Raw genomic sequence first — 25737 nt, 5'->3', positions numbered from 1 at the left:
TATCTGAGAAGAACAAATGAGGATTGGCTAGCTACACAATGGAAAAACAGTATTTTAGCACGAATTGGAAGAGCTTGTTGAGTTTAGTAAAATGTGAAAGTTCAGTATAACTGGAGCCTAGAATGCTCTTAGGAATTTTGGGAGAGATTAGGTTAGAAAAGTATTCCGAGCCAGACCATAAAGGCCATAAAGACTAAGAAGACCATAGTGACCCCGTAAAAAGTTATAGCGATATGCCCAAATGATACTTTAAAACATGATGCTTTCTGTTACCAGACAAATTATAATTGCATGCCTTTTTTGGTATGTGTTGACTTTCTTTAAAATATAATTATTATACTATATACATTCTGTAAAAGACAACAATATTTAAAAATAACTATTATAGTTAAAATATAACTATTTTATAAAATATAACTATTTATATAACTATAAAGTATATTGGTGATTAGTTTAACATAGTTACCTAGATGCACGCGTGCAAACACACAAATGAAAGTCACTTGACACCTGCGAATTTAAGGATTAGGGTATTGTTTGCAGATTGCTGCCATAAGACATCTGAGAGCTTTTCTGCCATCTGCCTCTGCTAATGATGCCTTTCTTCTTATGTCTCATCAGAAACATTATGGCTCAGTATCCTTCATACTACATTAAATTTACAATGACTCCCCTTATTCATTTATTCATGGGCAAAGTATTGTTTATTTCCTATGTTCCAAGTAGCTTTTTAGATGCCGGTGACACAGCATTGAAGAAGGTGGTCACGATTCTTGTTCTCAGTGTGGACTAAAAGTTGTCCAGATATAGGGAGGGGATAGAGAAGACTGATCAACAGAGGTTAGTGAGTTTGCATAGTAAAATGCAGCATGATAAATCAGAGGCCTGACACATACTTATGTCATTATTGTGGCAGCATAGAGGGGTGCATGTGTTGGGGCGTGGGTGTGTGGATGTGGTGGGGGATTATTGTAGGGTGGCTAGAGAAGTAGAGAGGAAGAGATCGTGCAGGGCCTTGGAGGCTGTGAGAGTGTTTTTACTTCACCCCCAGGGCTTTAGAGATTCAGGTGACTGAAATCAGCAAGATTTTATTATTTCAAACTCCCTTTCTCACATTACGGCAATGCTTCAGTGCATACCATAGCTTAAAGAGTCCAGTCCAGACTAATTTCAGCATCAGTCTCTTAGGCCATCTAGATGTTCTGTCCTTTTCCATGCCTTTTTCACAGGTAAGGGATATACTGTGGAGACAGGCCAAGATCTACTCTTCCTCTTCTTTTTCTGTGTTTTTCAAAGTTGATGCAATGGTAAGGGAGAGTAGTAAAACGGGAACATACATTTTTACTGAACTGGTTCTATTGGTAGTTCTCTGTTAGCAATATATGCCGTTTGTATGGTTGGTGGATGAATACTGGATCTCCCATGGGGCATACTTGTGATGTCTTCTCAGTGACCTCCTTATTGCAGTCACCAAAAACACAGGTGGCTTATTCTCCAATGGCATTCTTTGTGGTATCCTGTGTGGCCTCTGCCTCTGGAACTTTATGACCTTTAATTGCTGGTTGTCTCTACCTTGTCTGGCCACCCTTTTGTTGAGTATGGGGAGAGGGAGAAGGATCTTTTGAAGATGATTTATGCCAGACTATCTTCCTTGGTGTCCAACCATTTTCTGAGAACTTTGCAAATATTATCTCACTTCATCCTTACAAGAGTCCTAGGAAGTAACTTCTATTTTTCTTACCATTTTACAGATAAGTCAACTGATATAAAGAAAGGTTAGCCAACCTGCTCAAAGCCAGGTACCCTGATCTACCCGACTTGAGAACTTGTGTTTTAACATCTATTTCTTATTACTTAATATGTATCATTATGATTATTTGATTTTGTGTTTGAGTTAGTTTTAATTGTGAAAAGATTTTTTATTATGCACATTTAAGATGTACATTATATTTTAGTGCACTTATAATAGTAAGTGGCTACTACAGTCAAGTAAAATTAACATATCCATCATCTTGCATAGTTTACTTTTTTTCCAGTAAGAGCACTTACATTTCCAGTATACAATAATTATAGTCGTTATGTTTTACCTTAGATCTGTAGACATTCATCCTATGTATCTAAGCTTTATACCCTTTGATTGACACCTCCCCATTTTTTCCCTCTTCACATCCCACCGCAGTAACTGCCAACATTTTATTCTATGTATTCAAACAACCAACGTACCTTTCTCTCTTCCTTTTTTCCACATGTAAGTGAGATCATGCAGTATTTTCCTTCTGCGTCTGACTTATCTTACTTAGTATAATGCCCTCCATGTTTATCTATATTGTTGCAAATGATGGGATCTCCTTTTCTAAGGCTGAATAGAATTTCATTGTACATATATATTATGTTTAAATAATTTATTCATGCATTGACGGACACTTAGATTGTTTTTGTATATTGGGTATTGTGAATAATGCTACAATGAGCATGTGAATGCCAATATCTTTAAAGGTCATGATTTCATTTCTCTTGGGTATATACCTAACAGAAAGATTCTGCTTTTAACATTTTGAGGAATATCAATATTGTTTTCCCTAATGGATACACCAATTTACATCCCCACCAACAGTGTACATGGATTCCCTTTTATCTACACCCTGGCCAACACTCGTTATCTCTTGTCTTTTTGATAATAACCATCCTAACAGGTGTGAGGTGATATTGATTTTAATTTGTAATTCTTTGATGATTAGTGATGTTGAGCACCTCTTTATATACTTATTGACCATTTTGTGTTTTTATTGGAGAACTGTCGATTCAGATTCTTTACCTATTGAGTTGTGTGAATTCCTTATGTATTTTGGATATTAATCTCTTATCAAATATATAATCTGCAAGTATTTTCTCCCAATCCATAAGGCTACCTTTATATTTTGTTGATTGTTTCCTTTGCTGTACAGAAGCTTTCTAGTTTGATGTATGTCGACTTGTTTATTTTTACATTTGTTGCCTGAGCTTTTGGAGTGATGTTCAAAACACTCATTGCCAAGATCAATGTCAAAGAGCCTATCTTCTCTTCTAGGAGTTTTATAGTTTCAGGTCTTACCTTTAGGTCTTTAGTCTGCCTTGAGTTGATTTTTGTGTATGGGATAAGATAGATGTCCAATTTAATTCTAGTGCATATGGCTATTCAGTTTTTCCAACATCAGGTTTTGAAGAAAATACCCCTTTCAGAAATTCCAAAACTCCAGTCTCAGCCCTACAACTTAGTTCTTCCTGTAACTTCTCATAAGCCATGAGTAATGTCCATTTATTGATCTATGAAAGAAGGAAATTTTATTCTGATATTCTGCCTTCAAGGGTTGTTTTATGTATGGTATAATGAAAAGACCATGGTATTTAGAAACACAGAATTTGAGACCAAATCTTGCCTCTCTGTCTTTTTTTTAAGTAAATATTGCTTTTGAAGTATTTTCCACTTGTGAAATTGGTATAATTTTGCATATGCAATGAGGATGTTATGAATTTTAAATGACACATATTATATCAAAGTAAATTGCTGTCTACTATAACTATGAATCATATTGAATACTTCTATTATATATATTTTAATTATCTTCTGTTAAAATATGAATCTTTAGTAACATTTTCTAATTTGTTAGTGAAATTTGCCTGGCCCCTAGTTCCAAAAAGAATGCCCAAACATCTTACCTCCACAATGTTTTGAATGTGCAGTAGCTATGTTGTTCTGCAACTGTAGTTTGGTGAACTTCTTTGTATAATAAGGCTTGTACTAATTGGGTTTACTGGCCCTTTGCTGATCTGTTCTTAAGATTCTCATTGTTTTTGCAATTTTTGCAATGCAAATACTGTGCTAAATTGTTATCTAGCCCCGTTTGAGTACCAACTGAAAGTATTCGAGCTTCATTATTCTTGTGTATTCCAAGAGTGATATTTTTTACATTGTTGCATACCTGCTTCATAGACTACATGTTCTTCATTATAGAAGAAACACACTGATTGGAATTTACTCAAGGGAGACTAGCCTTTATTAGCCACAAGAGTATAATGTAATAAGTAAATAAATGTAGAAAATCAAAGTAAATGAGAAATCACTCCAGGAACAGTCCTACAATTTAGTTGTGTTTTAGTGAGTGGATAAGATTCTTCAGGAATTGGCTATAAGTACTGATTTATAATTAATGTAGTCAGGCAGTAAAGAATATGATGCCTTCATTAAGTTAATGTGTCCTTAAAATCAAGTTTATATGATAAACTGTGCAATAGTTTATAGAGAGTGATTTCCTTGTTTCCAGGACAAATTATGGATATAACACTTAAGGAGTTTACTGTAAATGGAGATTTTTAGTAGTGGCAAAAACATTTGACTGGAAACTGCATCTTTGTCTGGGTTCTGTCACTAACAAACTTGAAAACAGGAAATTCATTGAATTTATCTATATTCCCATCTGTGAAAGGAGGAAATTGGGTTAAATTTCCTGTAAGGAATTTTTGAAATCTTGGAGTGTATGGATTTTTCAACTCTTCAGTGTAACCCAACAGTCAGTCTCACTTCTCCTGTGTATAAGCCATAGGATACATGCAAGCTGATATATCCTTGCGGTTTTTTGTTTGTTTCTTATTAAATTTGCACTTTAGTTGTATGTGTATTCTCCACTGCATTGTGTAATTCATCCTTTTATTATTAATTTCTTTTAGAGTCTCAGTTGATGGATCTAAGCCTTTAAGTTTGTATGAAGGAGTTAGACCGTTTTTTATTTTTTTGGTAAATTTCTTATAAAACACAAATCAGGTAATAACTCTGTTAGTATATATTCATGAAAGTCTGAAGTTAATTTTAAATGCACTTTTCAAGAATATCCTTTTCAAATACTTAGATTGTGCATTTTACAAGCATTTAAGGGAATCACATGAAAATAATTTATTTGGAAATCTTGTACTTAGTGGCTATGCAAAGAATATTATTTTATTGAAATGTCTTCTTTCCCTGTCTTTTTAGTCTAGAAAACAAAACATACAAAAACTGGTTAGTCAGCTATATTTGTTTATGTATCTATATATCTATACCTATATTTTACACTAATATATAAAAATATAAAATATGGACCAAAGTGAACATTTAAAAATAAATATTTATTTTAAGGACTAATTATTATATTTATCAAAGAAGTACATTTATTTTTGCTCCCACTTAAAATTTTTATGATATTTCTAGTAATTAATGTTTAAATGGTTTATTATTTTTAATATTTTTTAATATTTTTCTTAAATAGATTATGTTGCAGCAATTAAAAGATTCTAAATTTATATCACATTAATACTTGCCTTTACAACTATTATAGATTCAAATTTAAGAAATGTGTCATTGGCTATTGGTTAGTGAATTATGATGTTCATATTTAAAAATCCACCCATCAACTTTCGGTATTTGTCTTTGTGTTCCAGATTTTTAGTTTTTAAAATGACTTGTTACTTGCAATGATCTGATACTATCATTGACCAGTATTTTAAATTACAACATGTGTTTAAGATGAAACTTATTTTTATAAACAGTGGGCATAAACCCATATTTTAAATAGCCTCACTGATAATTATAAATTTTTTTTTGAATTTTTTTTAGAGTTTATTTGTTTACCATTTTTTTTTACCTGGCTCATGTAGGGCTCATATTAGGCAGAGTGTGGTATTTCTTTTTCTTGTTTCCCACTTTCGTTTGTACAATTATTATTTTCTTCCATGGTGTTTTATCAGTAATCTTCTGAATCCAATTGCCTATTTTCATTAGAGCTAGTTTAATCAAAAATAAGTATTGTAAATTCACCTAACTAGGCACAATCACGGTACACTGATGACAAATGCATTCACTACCCCATTTCCTGCTGTTGTGCCTTCTCTTCCCATAGAATGCCTTATAAACATGACCTTAATTTACTTATTTACATTCTTACTCTTAATAATGTCTATATCGTTCCATATTATAAAGCTTCATTTATTTTTATATTTAAAGTGATATATAAAAATCGAGATTCTAATATTTTCTTCCTGCACCCAAATGGATACACACACTTTACTTTGTAAGCCGCTGTCCTAAGCTGATTACCCTGCTTCCACTTAAAGGCTCACCCTTCATTTAGGTATAATACAGTTGATAATAGTTACATTTACTAAGTTATAACCAACCTGCTTCCCTGAGATTAGACTCATGTGACTTTCATTGAAATTTCAGATGACCTCAAACTCTTTATTCATTCACTAACATCTTTTACTTTTCTCTCACAGAGGCCTAGTCTGTTCAGTTGCAATGATGAAATACTGGCTCAAGTTCTTTACCCCTTCCTATAGCCACATTTTCCCATCTCATTTTGTAGTGCCCTCTCACTGAGAGTTGGGGTTACCTACTACACCAAGTATCCATCAATTTAACTATGTAAATTGCTTTAGCCAATGGGCTGTTAAAACATATTACACAAGCACTAGCTTGAAATGGGCTTGTGCATTGGAGTTTGTTCTTTTGTACTTCTGCCATTGTCAAGAGAAAGAAAAGCCAGTTGAGCCCAGTGGTCTGTGAGAAAATGACAGACAACCCAAAAGGAAACTGAGTAGATGAAGTGAACAGATAATTTATAGAGGAGAAAACTAGAATTTTTAATAAACATGAACATATATTATTTATTACTAATTAACAGAGAAATCCTCGTGATTGCACCATGACCCATTTCACACTAATCATGTCTAAAATGAAATATACTGTCTCTACCAAGTTGTACATAAACAAGAACATTTATACACTTCTAGTGAGAATATAAATTTACACACCACTTAGGATTTCAATTTAAAAATATCTTGTTATTTTGAAGATGCACATACACGAAATTCCAGTAATCTTACTTACAGATTTAGTCTAGGGCAGTGTCAGCATACTACAGCCCATGGGAAAGAAGCTGTCAGCTGCCTATATTTGTAAACAGAGTTTTATTGGAACATAGCCATGCTCATTCATTTATGCAATCTATGGTTGCTTTCACATTGCAGTGGCAGAGTTGGATAGTTGTGATGCTAACCATATGGCCCACAAATTCTAAAATGTTTATTGACTAACACTTAATGGAAAAAATTTGCTGACCTCTGTTCTAGAGTAACTCTTCTTATACCTTTGTATTACAAGTGTTGAACAAGAATATTTGTAGCAATATTGCTTGTGACGGTGACAAATTATAAATAAGAAAAATAAGGATGAGGAAAAACGATGATGATATTGTGAAGTTTGTCTTCCAATATAATACTATAAAGCAGTAAAAATGAATCAAAGGGCTAGATATATTGCCATGAGTAAACCTCAGCAAAGTAGCTAAAAGATGCAAGTGTCAGAAAAATATACAAGGTATGATACTGTGTATATGAATGTTTAAAATGTGACACACTATATATATATGTGTGTGTGTGTGTGTGTGTGTATATATGTACTAAATGTGAAAGTACATGTATGGGAAGGGTGTACACTAAACTCAAGATACTTATTTCCTCAGAGACTAGGGGGCTGTGATTGAGAAGGGATAAACAGAAGAGGAAGGGCTTCAATAAGATTTGTGATGACATTTCTGCTAGGTGATGGTTACAAGGTGTTTGTAATATTCTTTATACTCTTGTGTATGTCCGAAAAACAAAAAGAAAATAGAACACAAATGAAAGACATGGTCCCTTTCTTGAAGATTTATAAGCTATTTGGGAGGCAAAGAAGCAAATGTATAATTGCAATAGATGATCTTGAAAGAATGAAGGGCTCTACAGAAATACAAAGAGAGCTGGCTATGTTTTTTTGCAGGTGTTCAAGGGACTGAGGCAGGTGGAGAACTTGCTCTATTTGAGGAATGTCAAGGAGTGGGGATTGTTACAATTGCCTAGAGCATAACATGAGTTTGCATGGTGAGGGTGGGAGAAAAAAGACTCAAACTATGTTAGATAGATTGGCAGGGCACACCTAGGACACTGTGAGCCCTCAAAGATAAATAATAATTCTGGAAACAATTTTTAGGAAACTTACATAATTCAACAAGTAAAACCAAACAACCTCATTAAAAAGTGGGCAAAAGACATGAACAGACACTGCATAAAAGAAGACATACAAGCAGCCAACAAACAGATGAAAAAATGCTTCACATCACCAATCATCAGAGAAATGGAAATCAAAACCACAATGAGATACTATCTTATATCAGTCAGAATGGCCATTATTAAAAAGTTAGAAAAAAAAAAAAAACAGATGCAGACTAAAGTGAATACTTACACACTGTTGCTGGGAATGTAAGTTAGTTCAGCCACTGTGGAAAGCAGTCTGGAAATTTCTCAAAGAACTTAAAACAGACCTACCATGCAACCCAGCAATCGCATTACTGGTTATATATCTCAAAGGAAAATGAATCGTTTTACCAAAAAGACACATGCATGCATATGTTCATTGCAGCACTATTCACGATAGCAAAGACATGGAATTAATTTAGATGCCCATCAATGACAGATTGGATAAAGAAAATTCGATTCATCTACACTATGGGATGTTAGGAAGCCTTAAAAGAGAACAAAATCTTGCGCTCTGCAGCAACATGGATGCAGCTGGAAGCCATTATCCTAAGCAAATCAACGCAGTAACAGAAAATCAAATAATGCATGTTCTCACTTATAAGAAGTGGGAGCTAAACATTGGGTACTCATGGACATAAAGATGACAGCGATAGACACTGGTTATTGCTAGAGCGGGGAGGGAGGAGGTCAAGGGTTGGAAAACTAACTATTGGGTAACATGCTAACTCTCTGGATGATAGTATCCCAAACTTCAGCATGACACAATATGCTCATGTAACAAACCTGCACATATGCCCCCATATCTAAAATAAAAGTTGAAGTTATTAAAAAATAAAATAAATAAGTAAAATACATCATTAAAATGTACAAAAAATCACTTGCAACTTCCTGTTTGTAAATTTTAAGTATCTCCTATGTGATTGACCTCCAGAAAATGACTGTCATATCAATAGCTTCTGAAACAGATAAAACATAACCTCATTTTACAGAAGTGAAATATAGAATTTGAAGTTTTATAAAAAGTGTTAAAATTCATTAATTTTGCCTGGAAAAGTAACCAAGAATCATATGCAGTCACATTAGGCTAGTATTTGAGGAATCCCAGTTAAAAAAGAAATACTTACGTGAAACTTGCAGTGCAAAGACTCATCTCTTTGTTCATCATTTTTTTAATTTTAGAGTTCCATTTAATGTTTAGAGTTAAGCATTAAAAAAGATAACTAGATGATAGTGAGCCCACGCTCACTAGGTTATAGAATATTCCCTTAAGGATTAACAGCCCAGAGCCTCTGTTCATTTGCTACTCACATGCCAGTACCTAGGATTTTCACTTGTTAGTATCATCACAGTTTCAAGTTTTGAGGGATCACTGGGATTCATGTATTTGATTCCGATTTGTACAAATGATTTTCTATTTTATAGTATATGACCTTTTTATCTGTTCTTTTTTGCAAACATTAATTTAGTAAAATTGCTATCGCTGCATTGTTTATTTTCAAACATGTAATGACTATGGTTTTGTGCTCAAAGGACAGTTTCTGAATTTCAAATCTCAGGTGTGTAATTGAGCATTTCAATTATTTATAGTATGTTTATACAAATATACACTGACAAAAAATTAATATCCAATGGATTGTAAACAGTATTCACAATTGTGCATTGTATATCTCATTTAAAATGTGTACGTTACCTTAAGAATGATAGGGTAAAGATAGAGAGAGAGGTAAAGAGAGAGAGAGAGAGAGAGAGAAACAGAGTTTCACGTAAGTTAAAATTTGGAGAAAAATAATAGAGGACATGATCACTAGCGGGTCTGTAACAATATTTTAAAGTACATTTTAACATGAGGGAGTTTATCTGCAAGATAGTCATAATTTAAGTATTCTAAAAACTTGTAAGGTGCTTGTATTACAACTAATGTCATAAATAAACTTTATTGAAATTATCTCCTAAGACAGTCTTGCTAACAATATCATGTTCTCACCATTTTTTAGGATTAAAAAATAAATATGATAATTTACAGTTTCTTTGGCAACAGGAGATGATGATTCATACAGATCTGAAAGTGTGCTTAAGTGTTGTGTTTTTTTCTTTTTAATTTTTTAATTTTTCTTTTTAATTTTTTCTGTTATGTTTTTTCTTTTTAATTTTTAAAAATTTTATTTATTTATTTATTTATTTATTTATTTATTTATTTATTTGCTACTGGGAAAGCTGCCTACTCATTTTTTCTTGAAATAGGCTACTTAAAATAATTCAACCAGACCCTGCTCAAGCTTATCCCCTCTCCAAGCAGCTCTAAACTACAGGATGTAGTGGAGCAGTTTGACTGAGACCTTGTTCAACTAAAAGAGGCCAAAGTGAATTTACTTCTTCTTTTCAGAAGAATATATAGCTAATAGTATACACAGACGTACTTTATCCCATTGTATGTGGCAACATGTATTGATAAGCCAAAGGAGTAATCTTTCTGATTAAAAATGTTTTCCTTTCAATATAGCTCTCTCTGTTTAAATTAATTAGAATATTATTTTGGAATTTTACCGTGTCTTGTGTCTACAACATTTACTATTTTCAAAAAAATTCTATTTTTTATTTCAGGAATATACAATTGATGTTTTCTTTCGACAAAAATGGAAAGATGAACGTTTAAAATTTAAAGGTCCTATGAATATCCTTCGACTAAACAATTTAATGGCTAGCAAAATCTGGACTCCAGATACCTTTTTTCACAATGGGAAAAAATCAGTAGCTCATAATATGACAATGCCAAATAAGTTGCTTCGAATTCAGGATGATGGGACTCTGCTGTATACCATGAGGTATGTTTTTAGGTTTGATGTGATGTATTTATATACTGAGAAATTTTCATGTATTAAACAACCAGCCAATCTAGCTGTCAAGTATTAACAAAGTTGAGTGTTTTCTAACAGATTATTGAAGTACCAATAATATGCTTTGCAAATGTTTTGATTTAAAAAACTATATAAAATAGTATTTTTGAGTTTGAGTCTCATCTTAGTTCTTTAAATGTTAAGAATTGCTTTTATTATTATGAATTGATGTTTTTCATTATTCTTCACGACATTTTTATTAAGTACATTTTTAATAATGATTTGAATTTTACTTGTATCAACATATAATTTTAATATCTTATCAGATATCCCATCAAAATTTTTGTTATTTCAAAGTAAGACTTTATTTATTTATTCATTTATTGAGGCGGAGACTTGCTCTATCACCCAGGCTGGAGTGCAGTGGTGCAATCTCGACTCACTTCAACCTCCGCTTCCTGGGTTGTAGTGATTCTCCTGTCTCAGCCTCCCAAGTAGCTGATACTACAGGCACGTGCCACCATGCCAGGCTAGTTTTTGTATTTTTAGTAGAGACGGTGTTTCGCCATGTTGGCCAGGCTGGCCCCGAACTCCTGGCCTCAAGTGATCCACCCACCTCGGCATCCCAAAGTGCTGGGATTACAGGCATGAGCCTCCACGCTCAGCCTAATTTAATATCTTAATTTTCCCTATGAAGTTACTCCAAAGAAAAAATAACTTTAATTTAAATTCAGAGAGAAAGCTTCATTTAATAAGGCTTACAAGTATATTGGATACCATAAACATGTACTAGATTGAACCATATGAAATTGCCATTTTGTAACTCAAAAAGTATCCTATAGCATTGTTTATATGATTTAAACTGTAATAAAATTTTCTTGCAGAATAAATAGTTGTTGATCCTAAAACCTATTACATCTTAAGCATATTCATGAATTAATTTTGTAAAATAAGTTACTTGTATTATGTAAGAAAAAAATAACAAATCTAGTAAGATTATGTGGAATCTAAAGTTAAAATGTTTCATAAAAGATTTAAAACAGACATCTGACATCAGCATTATATATAGACAGAAACACGTATTCCAGTTATTTGATGTATTGTCATTTCATAAGATAAGTGTTAGATTTTGGTTATGAAAGTTATTTAAGAAGGGACAACAATACAGTCCTATGCTATTTCTGATCTTTAAAGAAAAAATTTCTTGAGGACTCATTACTAAATGTTCATTGCCTAAATGGAAGTGCTAGCTAGTCTTTCTGCCTCTGTCTCTCCCTTTGAATCTTGCAATATATTCAGATGCAATGCCCCTGTTGACTTTGTACATTGATCATTTCTATTAACTAAGGCAATGAGTAAAACTTTAGGGTTTAAATAAAATGCAGGCACAGGACATATATAATTTTGGAATATATTGTCTAAGGTTCTATTTAAACATTTTCTTAGAATTTAAGCCATAACAAATTGTGGTCACATTTGCTTTGCTCATTATAACAGATTTCTCTATAAATTTTATTTAGTACCTGCTATATCCACTTTGTCTTTACATGAAATGGAATAATTGGAAGTTTGCATTATATCAAATTTTCTATGACTACTCTTTGTTGTAATCATGTAGATACAGAAAAATATATATTTAACATTCGTAATTTGTGTTTATAATTTAGCCAACAATCTAAACTTGATAAAGTTATTTCTAGGAAATACATCTGTATATGTATTTATATCTAGCACTATATGTATAGCTGTGAATATATATGCAGTATACAGTAACAATTCACAATTCACATATGTTGAAGGGAGCTCCTCTGAACTAATATTGAATCCTTTGATCAATTTTGCTCTGTGTTTGTTGATGAGGTAATGGAGACAATAGCATTCTTTTAATGATAGAGATTTTTTTTGGCCCTTAAGATTTCAAGTGTTAATAGTGAGCTTAATGAGAAAGGAGCCATTTAAAATGCATATGTAATTTCTTCACTTCTTAAGAAACTAAAATGGCTAAAGTATATTTTTAATTATTATTTTCAGTTATACTGAGAATTTGTATACGCCAATGTCTTCCGAGGGATCACCTAAACATGAATGAACAAAAGATTATTTAAATATGAATGAGCCTACTGCTGTGATTAATGCTCTACCTCTATCGAGTCTGTTGAGAGTAATGACGAGTGATTTTTCTTGACTTACCAATATACTTAAACAAATAGTGAAATTTTGACTTTTAGGCTTACAGTTCAAGCTGAATGCCCAATGCACTTGGAGGATTTCCCAATGGATGCTCATTCATGTCCTCTGAAATTTGGCAGCTGTAAGTACAGGGATGAAGTTACATGTTTTGGGTCAATAATATCAGGGAAAGTCAGCAGCACTGCTCAATTGTCTAGTTTTTTTCTCAAATTATGAGATGATTGACAATTGTCAATAAGACTTGGAAGTAAAAGCCATGCTAATTGTCCTTAAGGAACATCTCTCAAATATTATTATAATTTAATCATGGTGTTAAACAATTATGACTTATTTTTACTACTATGTGTTTTAGTACATGTGTAAAATTAGACCAGGAGTTCCTTGGAGGTTAGGACTGTAATTTACCTTCTTTTTCAAGTGCTAGAATATTAAAAACTCAAATGTTTCTTTTTCATCAACTAAGAATGAATTGGAAAGGATAGATTCTATAAAGTGGCAATCAGCCTGTTGCAAATGACATGCACAGAAGCTTAGTCTGTGTCATTGTCTTCTACTGTAACTAATGGAAGGATTTCTTTTTTATTTCTTAAATTAAAGGAGATAATGTAGCTGCATTGCTACATTCTGGCACCTTCTATGTACATAGGACATTTCAGAAAAGGGTCTGTGCAGTTGGCTCTTCTTTAGGTCAGAAGGGTTATATCTTGTATGTCAAGCAGAAGCATTCATTCTTCCAGAATAATTGAAAAGGAGGAAGGTCAAATCATCTCCCTAGGCCCACATGACATTCTGGGTAGGTTCAGCATAAATCCACGAACACAGCTGAGCAGCCTCCCTCTTGTGTGAGGGTGTCCTATTGCCTGACCTTTTTAGAGACTGTGCTCTTTTTGGCACCCTCATCTTTGTCCCTTCTGAATAGCTTTTGACTTTTTCTTCTCTGTTGAATAGAAATACAGTACTCTCATCTGATTAAAACTATGTATTGCTGAATAGTATGCCTTCTCCTCACAAACTGTATCAAGCAAAAGAAAACGGAAGAATGGTGGCTCATATGAATGCAAAACCCTCTAATTATTTTGATGATCATACTTTTGTGGTACAAGAACTGCAATCTTGTTTGTTCTTGCAAAAGGTGTCAGGTCTCAATTTTCTTTGAGAATCTTCTCTTTATTTAACTACAAAGGCTTCTTTTATTGTCATGGAAACCATAACTTCAGTATTGGCATTTCTTCCAACATTATTTAAGATAGTCAATCATGTTATACAATGTAAACACGATGCTGAGAAAACCACAGCAGATGCAGCAGAGAAGGACTTATTTCCATTACATAAGAGGCATTATAGAAAAAATTGAAAAGCCTTGATACCAAAGAAAAGATTAATTCAAGATGTAATCATGTTGTAAAAAGGACTTTTTTTTTTTCAGTTGACAAGGTATTGTCATTAAGGCATCAAATATAAATGATGTGATGGATGTCTCGATTCTGAAAATGAAATAAGCACACTTGAAAATATTTAAATGAAATTTAAAAATCTCTTATACTGCATCTACAGAGTGCAGAAATATCGCATGCTTGAGCATATAGTTTTCTGTACCCAGAAGGAGCTATGAGCAACAAATAAAGTTTGCTGCTAGGCATTTTTTGTTTAAGTAATTAGCACTAATTTTGTTTTCTTCACATTTATTTTCTGACACTCTGAATAAACAATTTTTATGTTATTTTATTGTCTTTGCCTGTAGTAGGTGCTTGATGCATAAGTATTAAAAGTATGGACACCAGTGTGGAGTAATATACAAGCCAAGCCATAGCTGACAATGTTGGCATAACAAAGTTTGGCAGAAACAGCTGTGACTTTTTCTTCTACTCATTTATTCCTTCCTTACTTGAAAGCCCTCTTCTTCCCTACCCCCACTCCACAAAAGGATTGTATTTCAGGAACTTCGTCAGTGTCCTCAATCAAAAGAAGCATTTTTTTTCTGTGTGCTTACAATTTTAAATTCAGTCTTGTTTTGTTTTATTCCTATTGCCGCATACCTTTAAATTTTTCCTTGTTGTTTAACTTGATTTTAGAATTTCTGAATGAAAGTCTAGGGATATTCTATTCATTAATCCAAAAGAAGCTGTAAATTGTCTTTCAGATTAAAAATTGACAGCTAAAAATAATTTTGAAGTATTTTTCCTGGTAACCAAATATTAAGAATCAGTTGGTATACATCTGCTTAATGCAACATAGGACTCAAAAATGGGTTAATTAACACAAACAAGATTATTTAATGGCAGCTTAATTTACAAGTGGAATTTATAATGAATTTTGTAAAACTTTCTCTCCTTTGATACTTTATTGAGAAACATTATTATGACCTCTCGGCTTATATGTGTGTTAATGTATATAACTCGCCCTCTTCGGGAGAGGCTTTAATCTGCTTTGCATAAATTTCTGCTGCATTATTTTCACCAGACACAAAATCTCAAAACTATATTCTTATCTAAATAATGAAGTGCAGTAACTGCTTTTTCAAAAGACATGTGAAGAATCAGTCACTTTCTTTAATAAACTCTTGAGCTTTTCTCTAGATTTCCATCTTCCATAGCAGTAAAGAACATAGTTCAAATATTATGACTTAATATATTAATCTAGTAAGAGTGAATTGAGACTTTTTCTTCTGTGTATCAGGCACTGTAGCAGGTCCTGGAAGTACAGGCATGAATCAGACAGAGTCACTGCCTATCAGTATCTCATTAGTGCCTTAAAAATGTCATCTCTTTTATAGGGTTTCATTTTTTCTTATTTATGTTTAAAAGAAACATTATAATTCAAAAGTGATGTCGTTCCGCTAAAAAAAAAAAAAAACTTCATAATTTATTGACGACTACAGAGTATTGTGAGGCCCTTCCAACGTAAAGTAGATCATTTGATGTATCTTTTTGTTAAATTCTGTGCCATTTGAAATTTTATTGAAGAGAGCGCCAGAATATGTATTCATGGGGGAAACAAAACAAGCTACTTGATCTACAAATGAGTTCCTAGTTATTCACATTAGTAGTGTTGTTGTTTAATGTTCTCGGTGTAATCAATCATTAATGGTTAATGAATTGAAATTACTTAATTAGAAAACTAAACCTTAGAATAATTAAAATTCATTCATATCAAATCATATGGACATTTCTCTATTAAAAGTATATACATATATATAAATATACATATACATTTTTAGAATCCTATTTCAAAAATTGCTTCACATAATGTAATTTAATTGTGAATGTAGGTGACTATATATGTAGTGATAATGGTGTTTCACTGATACTAACATTTAGTAGCAACATTCAGAAAACCAGACAACATTGCCGTTAGACAATGCCAGGTATGTCATTAGAAAACACAAACTCATAATCATTTACTCTATTGTTACTGATGGTTGAGTGGAAATTGATTTGCGATCACAGACTTTAGATCAATTTCAGAACCAGAGTCACCACAGTATGGTGCTATTAAAGCTAGGAAAGTTATAGATTGCAGAGAATGAGATTTCCAGTGTCCTAGAGAGCTGGAGGTAGAACTGTTGCCAGAGACAACTGGCCCTTTCTCTCCCTTAATTGATAACGTGACTGTGATGCTGAGTTTTGCTCAAGAACTAGGGGTAACGACATCTCTAAACATTCTCATGAGTAAAAGTGCGTAGAAGTTCTTCAGAAGGTCAGTAGTATAGAAAGAATTACCTGTTACTCAACTGTGGAGGGACTCTGCCTGCATGGAGAGGTTATCTGTTCCCCAGTGGGGCATAGAGATGTAAGAAAATGCCACTGTCAGAGAAAGGCTAAGACCAGATATGTTGCCTGCATGCCATCTCTGAAGTCATCTTACTTCTGCTAATTTCTGCATCCTTGGCCAATAAGTCAGGAAGTTATGTCTGATCTGGTTGCAGTTTTTCCTCTTCCTGCCAATCCATAGTTTAACTGGGATGCTATGAATGTGTAGGCTAGTGATATCTGTGTGCATTGATTCATTTAAAAACGAGCATGATTTTAAAAGGATTTGCAACTTGATGCAAGTATAGCGTTATTATTTATCTTATATGTTCTATAATAATTACTTTTTATTCTAATGAAATGCATTGTATTATGATAGCTAACTCATTTAACTCTTAACTAGGCTACATTTATGTCCAAAAATTAATATAATTTTGAATTTTGATTTTTATCTTATGAGTGATTGCTATTTATAAATAAGCTAAACAGCTTATTTTACCACAGTGTCTTCATATGCTACCTTTGGCCTAAAGGAGATGTTATAATCATCTAAGGGCCCAGTGATTCTAACAGACTCTAACAAGAAATTTGCTCTTCACCTTTCAAAGTGGTTGCAATGAATATACTGTCATGGTCATGATCATCTCTTTTGGTCTACTTCATAACTCTCATATTGAAGTAAATTCAAATGAGACATTTTTGCCCTAAATGTGATGTTTAACTATTAATATTGAAAGTATATAGTGATTGTATGAAATACACAACCGTTCGTGTAGCACTAGATTGATGGTTCTTACTAAAATGCTTAAAATATTTTTTCTGATTTCCTATAGATGCATATACAACTTCAGAGGTCACTTATATTTGGACTTACAATGCATCTGATTCAGTACAGGTTGCTCCTGATGGCTCTAGGTTAAATCAATATGACCTGCTGGGCCAATCAATCGGAAAGGAGACAATTAAATCCAGTACAGGTTAGTAAAATTAGTCTTTAAAAAAGCTGGTGCCTAAGAATATTAATAGGTTAAAGGACTTGGAAGTGTGTCAGATTGCTTAAAATCTTTTGCTCTTGAGGTCCAAGAACTAGCAGCATAGGCTGTGCTTGGGAGCTTGTTTTTTTTTTTTTTAATTATACTTTAAGTTTTAGGGTACATGTGCACAATGCGCAGGTTAGTTACATATGTATACATGTGCCATGTTGGTGTGCTGCACACATCAACTCGTCATTTAATATTAGATATATCTCCTAATGCTATCCCTCCCCCCTCCCCCCACCCCACAACAGGCCCCAGTGTGTGATGTTCCCCTTCCTGTGTCCATGTGTTCTCATTGTTCAATTCCCACCTATGAGTGAGAACATGTGGTGTTTGGTTTTTTGTCCTTGCGATAGTTTGCTGAGAATGATGGTTTCCAGCTTTTTAGACATTTGGAATCTTAGGCCCCACTCCTTATTAAATCAGAATCTACATTTTAACAAGATTCAAAGATTAATAGTTGCATTGAAGTTTGAGAAACACTGGCCTAAAATGCACTATGTATTTGCAACATATGTGTCTTCTCAGAGTAGTAAATTTTAATTTTTACCTTCTGACAAATGATTTTTTTTTTTTTTTTTTTTGAGACAGAGTCTTGCTCTGTCACCAGGCTGGAGTGCAGTGGCACGATCTGGGCTCACTGCAACCTCCACTTCCTGGGTTCAAGTGATCTCCTGCCTCAGCCTCCCGAGTAGCTGGGACTATAGGCGCACCACCACGCTGAGCTAATTTTTGTATTTTTAGTAGAGACGGGGTTTCACTTTGTTGGCCAGGATGGTCTCGATCTCCTGACCTCGTGATCAGCCTGCCTCGGCCTCCCAAAGTGCTGGGATTACAGACGTGAGCCAGTGCGCCCGGCCAACAAGTGATAATTTCTTTAGTTTTCTATTTTTTCACCCCTATTCTAGATAATTTATGACTATTCAACTTTTGATGTTGATAATTACTACAGGCCTGTGTGGAAAGCTGATTCCCTCTCTGAAGGCCGCCTTCCTTTAAAAAATAATAAATAAATAAATATTAAAAGACAAAAAAACAAAAACAAAAAAACCCAGCTGTGTGGACTAATTATCTTACATTTTGGCAATAATTAAAACCCAGGGAGCAGAAAGGAAGGTAGATATGAGGATTAGATAGAAGTGACTGAAGCAAATTAGCACAGACATATAACAGTGAGAAATTCAGAATTGGCAACAGGGTTAAAAGTGGGAAAATGTGGGCCAGAAGATCAGTCTTGTAGATGTGGCCAGACATCAATACTTTTGGAGCCAGAGAGCACTGAGTTAGAACAATCAAAAACAGAGACGAGGTTTATACCAGTGGGAATGAAGGGCCTAACCAAGTAAAATAAACTGTTGGCAGAGAGCATTTATGAATTCTGAATTCCTTTGGTCAATAAGCATGACTTAGAGAGGAAAACAAATACAAATTGAACATCTCTAATTTGAAAATCTAAAATCCAAAATGCTCCAAATTAAAAAAAAACAAAAAAACCTTTTTGAGTGCTGACATGATGCTCAAAGGAGATGCTCATTAGAGCATGTTAGATTTTATATATTTTGATTAGGGATGCTCAATTTGTAATAATGTAAATTTTCCAAAATCTGAAAAATCCAAACCCTGAAACACTTCTAGTTCCACGTATTTTACATAAGAGGTACTTAATCTGTACAATATCATGGGACGTGAGCTGCAAGTTTCTTGATACTAAAATTTTCTTCTAAACACTCATGCTATGCTAAGGAGGCTTTTAAAAGTGATATAAATTTCCTGACATGTATGTGATATATTATTTTTTAAAAAATCAGTTTTTGTTCTACCTCTGATCCCTTCTATTTCCTAAATGTTCAAAGTATTGACTATTACTCCTTGAGCTTCTTAAATTTTTCTTCCAGGTGAATATACTGTAATGACAGCTCATTTCCACCTGAAAAGAAAAATTGGGTATTTTGTGATTCAAACCTATCTGCCTTGCATCATGACTGTCATTCTCTCCCAAGTTTCATTCTGGCTTAACAGAGAATCTGTGCCTGCAAGAACTGTGTTTGGTGAGTGAATACACACTTTGCAGTACAGCACATTATGTTTCATAGCATACTTTCAAAAACATTATCTCTCTTGATCCTCAAACTAATTATTTGTAGTAGGTGGGGCGGGGAGTATTGTTTTTGCCTTATAGGTGAAGAAGTAGGCTCAGAGTGGTAACATAGTGCTACACTGTTAATAAGGGATATAAGGAAAGAAAAGTACTCAAATATTCTTAAAACACACTTAGTCTTCTTTCTGTTAAATCATACTGCTGTTCAACATTTGTCTGTACTATATTTACACAAGGTGAATTTTCTTTTTTTTTTTTGCTCAAAAAATGATAGCTCTTTATTGTTGCTATGATCAAACACCTACTATGTATTTTCAATAAGCACTAAGGATACAGAAATAAATAAGGCATGGGGCCTGCCTTAAAGAGGCATTTAGACAGATTTATAGGCCAAGAAATACAATGATGTGTTCTAGTCACCATTACAAAAGTCAGCACAAGGTAAAATAGGGGCTGAAGGAAGAAAGTTGGGGGAAAGTTTATAAAAGTCTTTAGGAGGAGATGGCTGTGAACCAAATGCTAGTGAATAGGTACCTCCCAAGAAGAACAAGAAAGAGGGTTCTCTAGGCAGAGAGAGCAGTTTGAGCAAAGCAGGAGAAGTGCAGTAGCCCATCATATTTACATGTGAGCAGCTTGGCACATATAAGCCAGGAGAAGAACAGGTGGAAAAAGGTATGGTAAGAAAGACGGGAGGGGATTATTCAAAATGTATTTTCCCTAGAATAGCATTTTGGAGCCCCCTATAAGGAGAATTTTCTTAGAAGTTTTAATTTATAGTCTCACTACCATATTTCTAGGCTTTCTATATTTTTCTGTTGTTTTTAGATGAAGAGTGATGATCTTAAAACTTTAAGTTAGAAACAGGTAGAAAGGGAGGGAGGAAGAGAGACCTCATTCACTTTTACTAGAGTGTTTGATTTTCTTGAATAAAACTAGGGAGGGGAATTTTTAAATTTAGAGTAATGGAATTCCATATAGCTAGACTTTATATGTTTATTTTGGTTTTGTTTTGAGATTATTAAAGATATTAGTACTTTAAATGAGAGAGAGAGGTTAGTGTAATGCCTCATGCCTGTAGTCCTAGCACGTTGGAGGCCAAGAAGGGAGGATCTCTTGAGACCAGGAGTTGGAGACCAGTCTGGGCAATATAGCAAGACCCTGTCTCTCTAAAAATAATTAGCCAAGCTTGGTGGCACACCTATAGTTGCCACTACTTGGGAGGCTGAGGCAGGAGGATCGCTTGAACGTGGGAGATTGAGGCTATCGTGAGCTATGATCATGCCGTTGCACTCCAGCCTGAGTGACAGAGAAAGACTATGTCTCAAAAAAAAAAAAGAATAAAATGAAAAGGAGTGGTATATTATTCATTCCATGAGTTTATTTAATAACAAACTTCATTTTCTTGATTGAAACTATGCAGAGGAATTTGGTTACTGCTTTTTGGATATATAGATATATGAATTGGGCCAAGCACGTTTTGTAACAAAGTAGATTACCTTTTTGTGTTTGGTCCACTCATTCATTTAAGAAAGTTTTATTGAGGACTTATTTTGTTAGATACTGTACCAGGCCCTAGAGATGCAAATATGGTAAAATATAGTCAGTGAATTCAATTACTTGGTATAGGGGATGGCACCATATAACCAGGAAGGGTAATAAGGTAAAGGTCTTGTAAAAGAGGCGTAGACAAGTTATAGAAAACAACAGCATGGATCCTTCCTAGAGCTGAGTAAGTGGCTGAGTTACCATTTGAGCTGAGACTTGGAAGATGAGTAGGACTTTCCCAGGCAGATGAGATGGGGCAAGAATCCTAGCTCAAAAGAATAGATTGTGCAGTGACATTAAGGGATGAAAGACAATGGCATGTTCATTGAAAGGGAGCTGTTTCAGTGGCAGTGGAGACATAGATAGAAAATAGTTTGAGGCCTAGATGAGAAGGGCCTTATAGGTCATCGTAATAAAATGTACTTTTATCTTAACGGGTTATAGCAAGTCACTATGGTGTTTTGGACCATAACATGTCTAAAGCTGTCAGAACAATGCCTAGCATTTAATACATGGTATATAATTGTTAGCCGTTCTTTTTCAAAACCATTTTGTTGAGGTTGATTGACATGTAAAAATCTGTACATATTTAATGTATACAACTCTTTGAATTTGGGGAATAGAATACATCTGTGAAACTATCACCACCATCAAAGGTATAGATGTATTCACTACCTCCTCAAATTTTTTCCCACCTTCTTTATTATTATTGAGTTGAGTGAAGGGAGGGAGGGTAAGGATACTTAACATAAGATCTACCCTCACTGCAAATTTTAAGAAGACAATACATTGTTAGCTATAGTCACATGCTATATAGTAGATCTCCAGATCTAATTTATCTTGCGTAACTAAAGCTATTATTCTTATTATTAATCTGATCCTACTTGTATTCTAGAAAGATATGACATATTTGCAGAGGATGAATTGAAAAATATAAATTACAAGAGGTAGGGGAAAAGTTAAGAGGCTACTAAAATAGTTCACATGAGAAATTATTAGGCTATTTTAAAAGAAGACAGTATAAAAAGGAAGAAAGAAAAGGATCAAAAGATGTTTGAGGGAGGGTATCAATGGATTTGGTGAACATATATAACAATTATAGAAAAAAGAATAATTTAGGCTAACATGTAGAATTTTTCTTGGATAATTTAAGTGGATAGTGTTGCTATTAATAAAATAAAAAATGAAGACAGAGGGCAAATAGGAAAACTGATTGTAGTTTGAGTTATGTGTATTTTGATGTTCCTTATAGTATCAATTTGATGTTCAGTAGACAATAGAAATAAGTATCTGGAACACAGATGAATAGAAGAAACTATTGATAAATATGACAATCGTAAGTGACAAGATGATAGAACTTATAAGTCTAGAACTTGTCTCCAAGAAAAATTAGGTGGGTGAATATGAGATTAGAGGACAGAATCTTTAAAAATCCTAAAATTGCAGAATAAAAAGGAACTAATTGGAATGACCAGAAAATAAGGAAGGAAACCAGGGGATGACAATTTTCTAAAAGGAAAAGATGTTAATTTCAACATCTCAAAACGCGCGCGCACACACACACAGATCCATACTGAATATATGATATCAAATGTATACCAATAAGTCTAAAATGCATTGAATGAATTTGACTAGTAGAAGGTTACTGATGGTCAGGAATTAAATTAGTAAAGTTGCTTTGGAGTGAAATAGGATTGAAATGGAAATAAGAAATGAGAAAGGAAAAAAGCTGAGCATATAATAAATTTGGAAGAAAAAGATTAAGACAGCTATAAAGAAAGGTGAGTCATTGTTATCATTATTACTATTATTAATACATAATTATTAACATGAAAATTTGAACAACATGGGGAACTACTTTATAATAAGCCACATGCTATTCATGTTGCATACTTCTTTACTTATTATTTTTCCAATGAAGTAGATTGTAATATCTCTTTTCTAAGGAGGAAAGAAACGAGACTCTACAGTTTTAGGTATCTCGTCTAAGACCTTAAAGCAGAGCTTTACTCCAAGGCTTAAGTTCATTAAACTACATATACTGCTGTCATGACTGTCCTTTAAGGGGGAGGGATCAAGAAAGAGTAAGGAAATTGAACATATCTATAGAAGAGGGAAGAATTTCAGATGAACAGGTACCTAAAGAAAATACTTGTAATGTGGTTGGGTAGACAAAAAAAAAAAAAAAAGAAAGAAACCCAATTCTCCAACATGTAATAAGCAACGCAAAGCAGACTTTGTTGGTACTTTCCTCTTTCCAAATTTTTGTCTGGCTGTTTAACAAACACATTTTTTTTTCAATCTTGGAAATATGCTTTTTATTATTACACTATTGGAGGAACAAGTTTGCTTAGAGACTATGCCACTAACTATAAACATGATTCAAATGGTAAATAACCTCAAGATACTATAGTGAGTTAAAATTGCAACCAAGTTGTGTAAGATTAATAATAAACTGTTTTGCAGACCACATTTGATGGGAAAATTTTAGAAAGAACTAAACAAACACAACATGCATCAGAAATAAAGGAGTAAGAAGAGGAGTGAATGAAGAGGATAGTAAAAAGAGCAATTTTTAAAAAGTGTACGCACCTATATAAATTTTTTTAAAATTCAGGAATAAAAATTTTAAATTAGGATATGTCTGCCAAACCAAATTTAACTTAGGGTTATAAACATTTGCTTGTTATTACAATGTCATTCATGTTTCCTTTGTACTAATATTACATATGCTTATGATCTATTTATTCCATTTTATTACAGAATATTTGAAGCTCAGTGAACAAAAAGGTGATATTTTTATGAGTCAAAATTGAATTATATAGAATATAATTCTAATAATCATAAATATATGATTCTAATAATCATATAATATATGTATAATATATGATCTTTTAAAAGCTGTGCATTTAAGACATAATATGCCCTCACTATATTTAGCAATTAAACCTAGGTATTATACTAGAATTTTATAGAAAATTCCAAGATAATAATGGTCTACAATTTTAGTTGCTACACAGTTTTCAATGTGAGTCACATACAATATATTAATACACTAATATCTTCACCTGTTAGTGCCCTAAACATTTCTAAAAAAGCTCCCCTTCCATTGTTCTCTTATGATGTTTTATAAATGCCTATATCATGGCACAAATTAAATTTCATTATGGTAATTTTTCATACATGCATTTCTCATTCTTCAGACTGACAGTTTCTACACACAGTTATTAACATAGAGCCTGGGACATTCTAAGTGCTATAAAATATATGATAAATAAATAACGGATAAGTGGGTGGAGGAACAATAAAGTGATCTATAGCAATGGACAATCTCTCCAAATTAAACTCTCTAAATGAACGATATCAAAAAATTAGAACAAGTTCAATTCTAAGCATCATCAAATGCATTTCCACTATTGTGAGTACAATAAAACAAAACAAAGCCCACATACACCCATGCATATACAGAACTGTAAAGATTGTCTCTGTAAGAAAAATATATGTTAAGAGTTTTAAAAGAACACATAGGAAATGTAAACAAAGAACACTAATAAAAAGATGAGCACAACTACAAAAAGATAATCTTGGAATAGTAAAATTGGGAAACAAGAAAACACAGAATAGACAGTGAAAGAAGAATAATTACAACGCAAAAACAGCAATTACACATTCCTCTCAAATGAACCATGAAACATTTGTTAGAATAGAACTGATATTAGGCTATAAGGAATTCTCAATAAATTTTAGAAGGTTGAAATAATACAAAGCCTCTTCTCTCAACACACTGGAATAAAGCTAGAAATAACTGTAGAATGAAAACTGGAAATTTTACCAATATGTGGAAATCAGACAACACACTCTTAAACAACAAATGGATTAAATAATAAATCACATGGGAAATTATAAAATACCTTGAGGGAAATTAAAATGAAAACACACCATACCAAAACTTACGAGATGCAGTGAAGTCAAAGCTCAAAGGAAAATTTGTAGCTATAAATGCCTACATTAAAAAATATGGAAGATCTCAAATAACACTCTAAAGGAATAAAAACATAAGGACAAACTAAACCCAAAGACAGTAGAAGAAATGAAATAATAAAGATTAGAGCAGAGGTAAATGAAATGTAGAATAAAAGAAAATGTCATCAACAAGACCAAAGGTTGGTTCTTAGAAAATATCTGCAGAATTGACAAAT

The 25737-nt window shown here is 33.3% G+C and overlaps 1 protein-coding gene across 20 annotated transcripts in view; it reads left to right on the top strand.

The window, feature by feature from the left end:
* The window catches only part of GABRA2 (gamma-aminobutyric acid type A receptor subunit alpha2), a 146753-nt gene that overhangs the window by 66898 nt on the left and 54118 nt on the right, over window positions 1-25737 (top strand). For all 20 annotated transcript variants that reach the window (NM_001377154.1, NM_001377146.1, NM_001377145.1 and 17 more), the window contains 4 exons: window positions 10687-10907; window positions 13148-13230; window positions 17692-17835; window positions 19791-19943. In NM_001377154.1, coding sequence (NP_001364083.1) covers window positions 10687-10907; window positions 13148-13230; window positions 17692-17835; window positions 19791-19943 — 601 coding nt within the window. The remainder of the gene's footprint in view (window positions 1-10686; window positions 10908-13147; window positions 13231-17691; window positions 17836-19790; window positions 19944-25737) is intronic.

Source organism: Homo sapiens, chromosome 4 (genome assembly GCF_000001405.40).
Source record: "Homo sapiens chromosome 4, GRCh38.p14 Primary Assembly".
NCBI lineage: Eukaryota > Metazoa > Chordata > Mammalia > Primates > Hominidae > Homo > Homo sapiens.
This window is presented reverse-complemented; position numbering and strand designations above follow the sequence as displayed.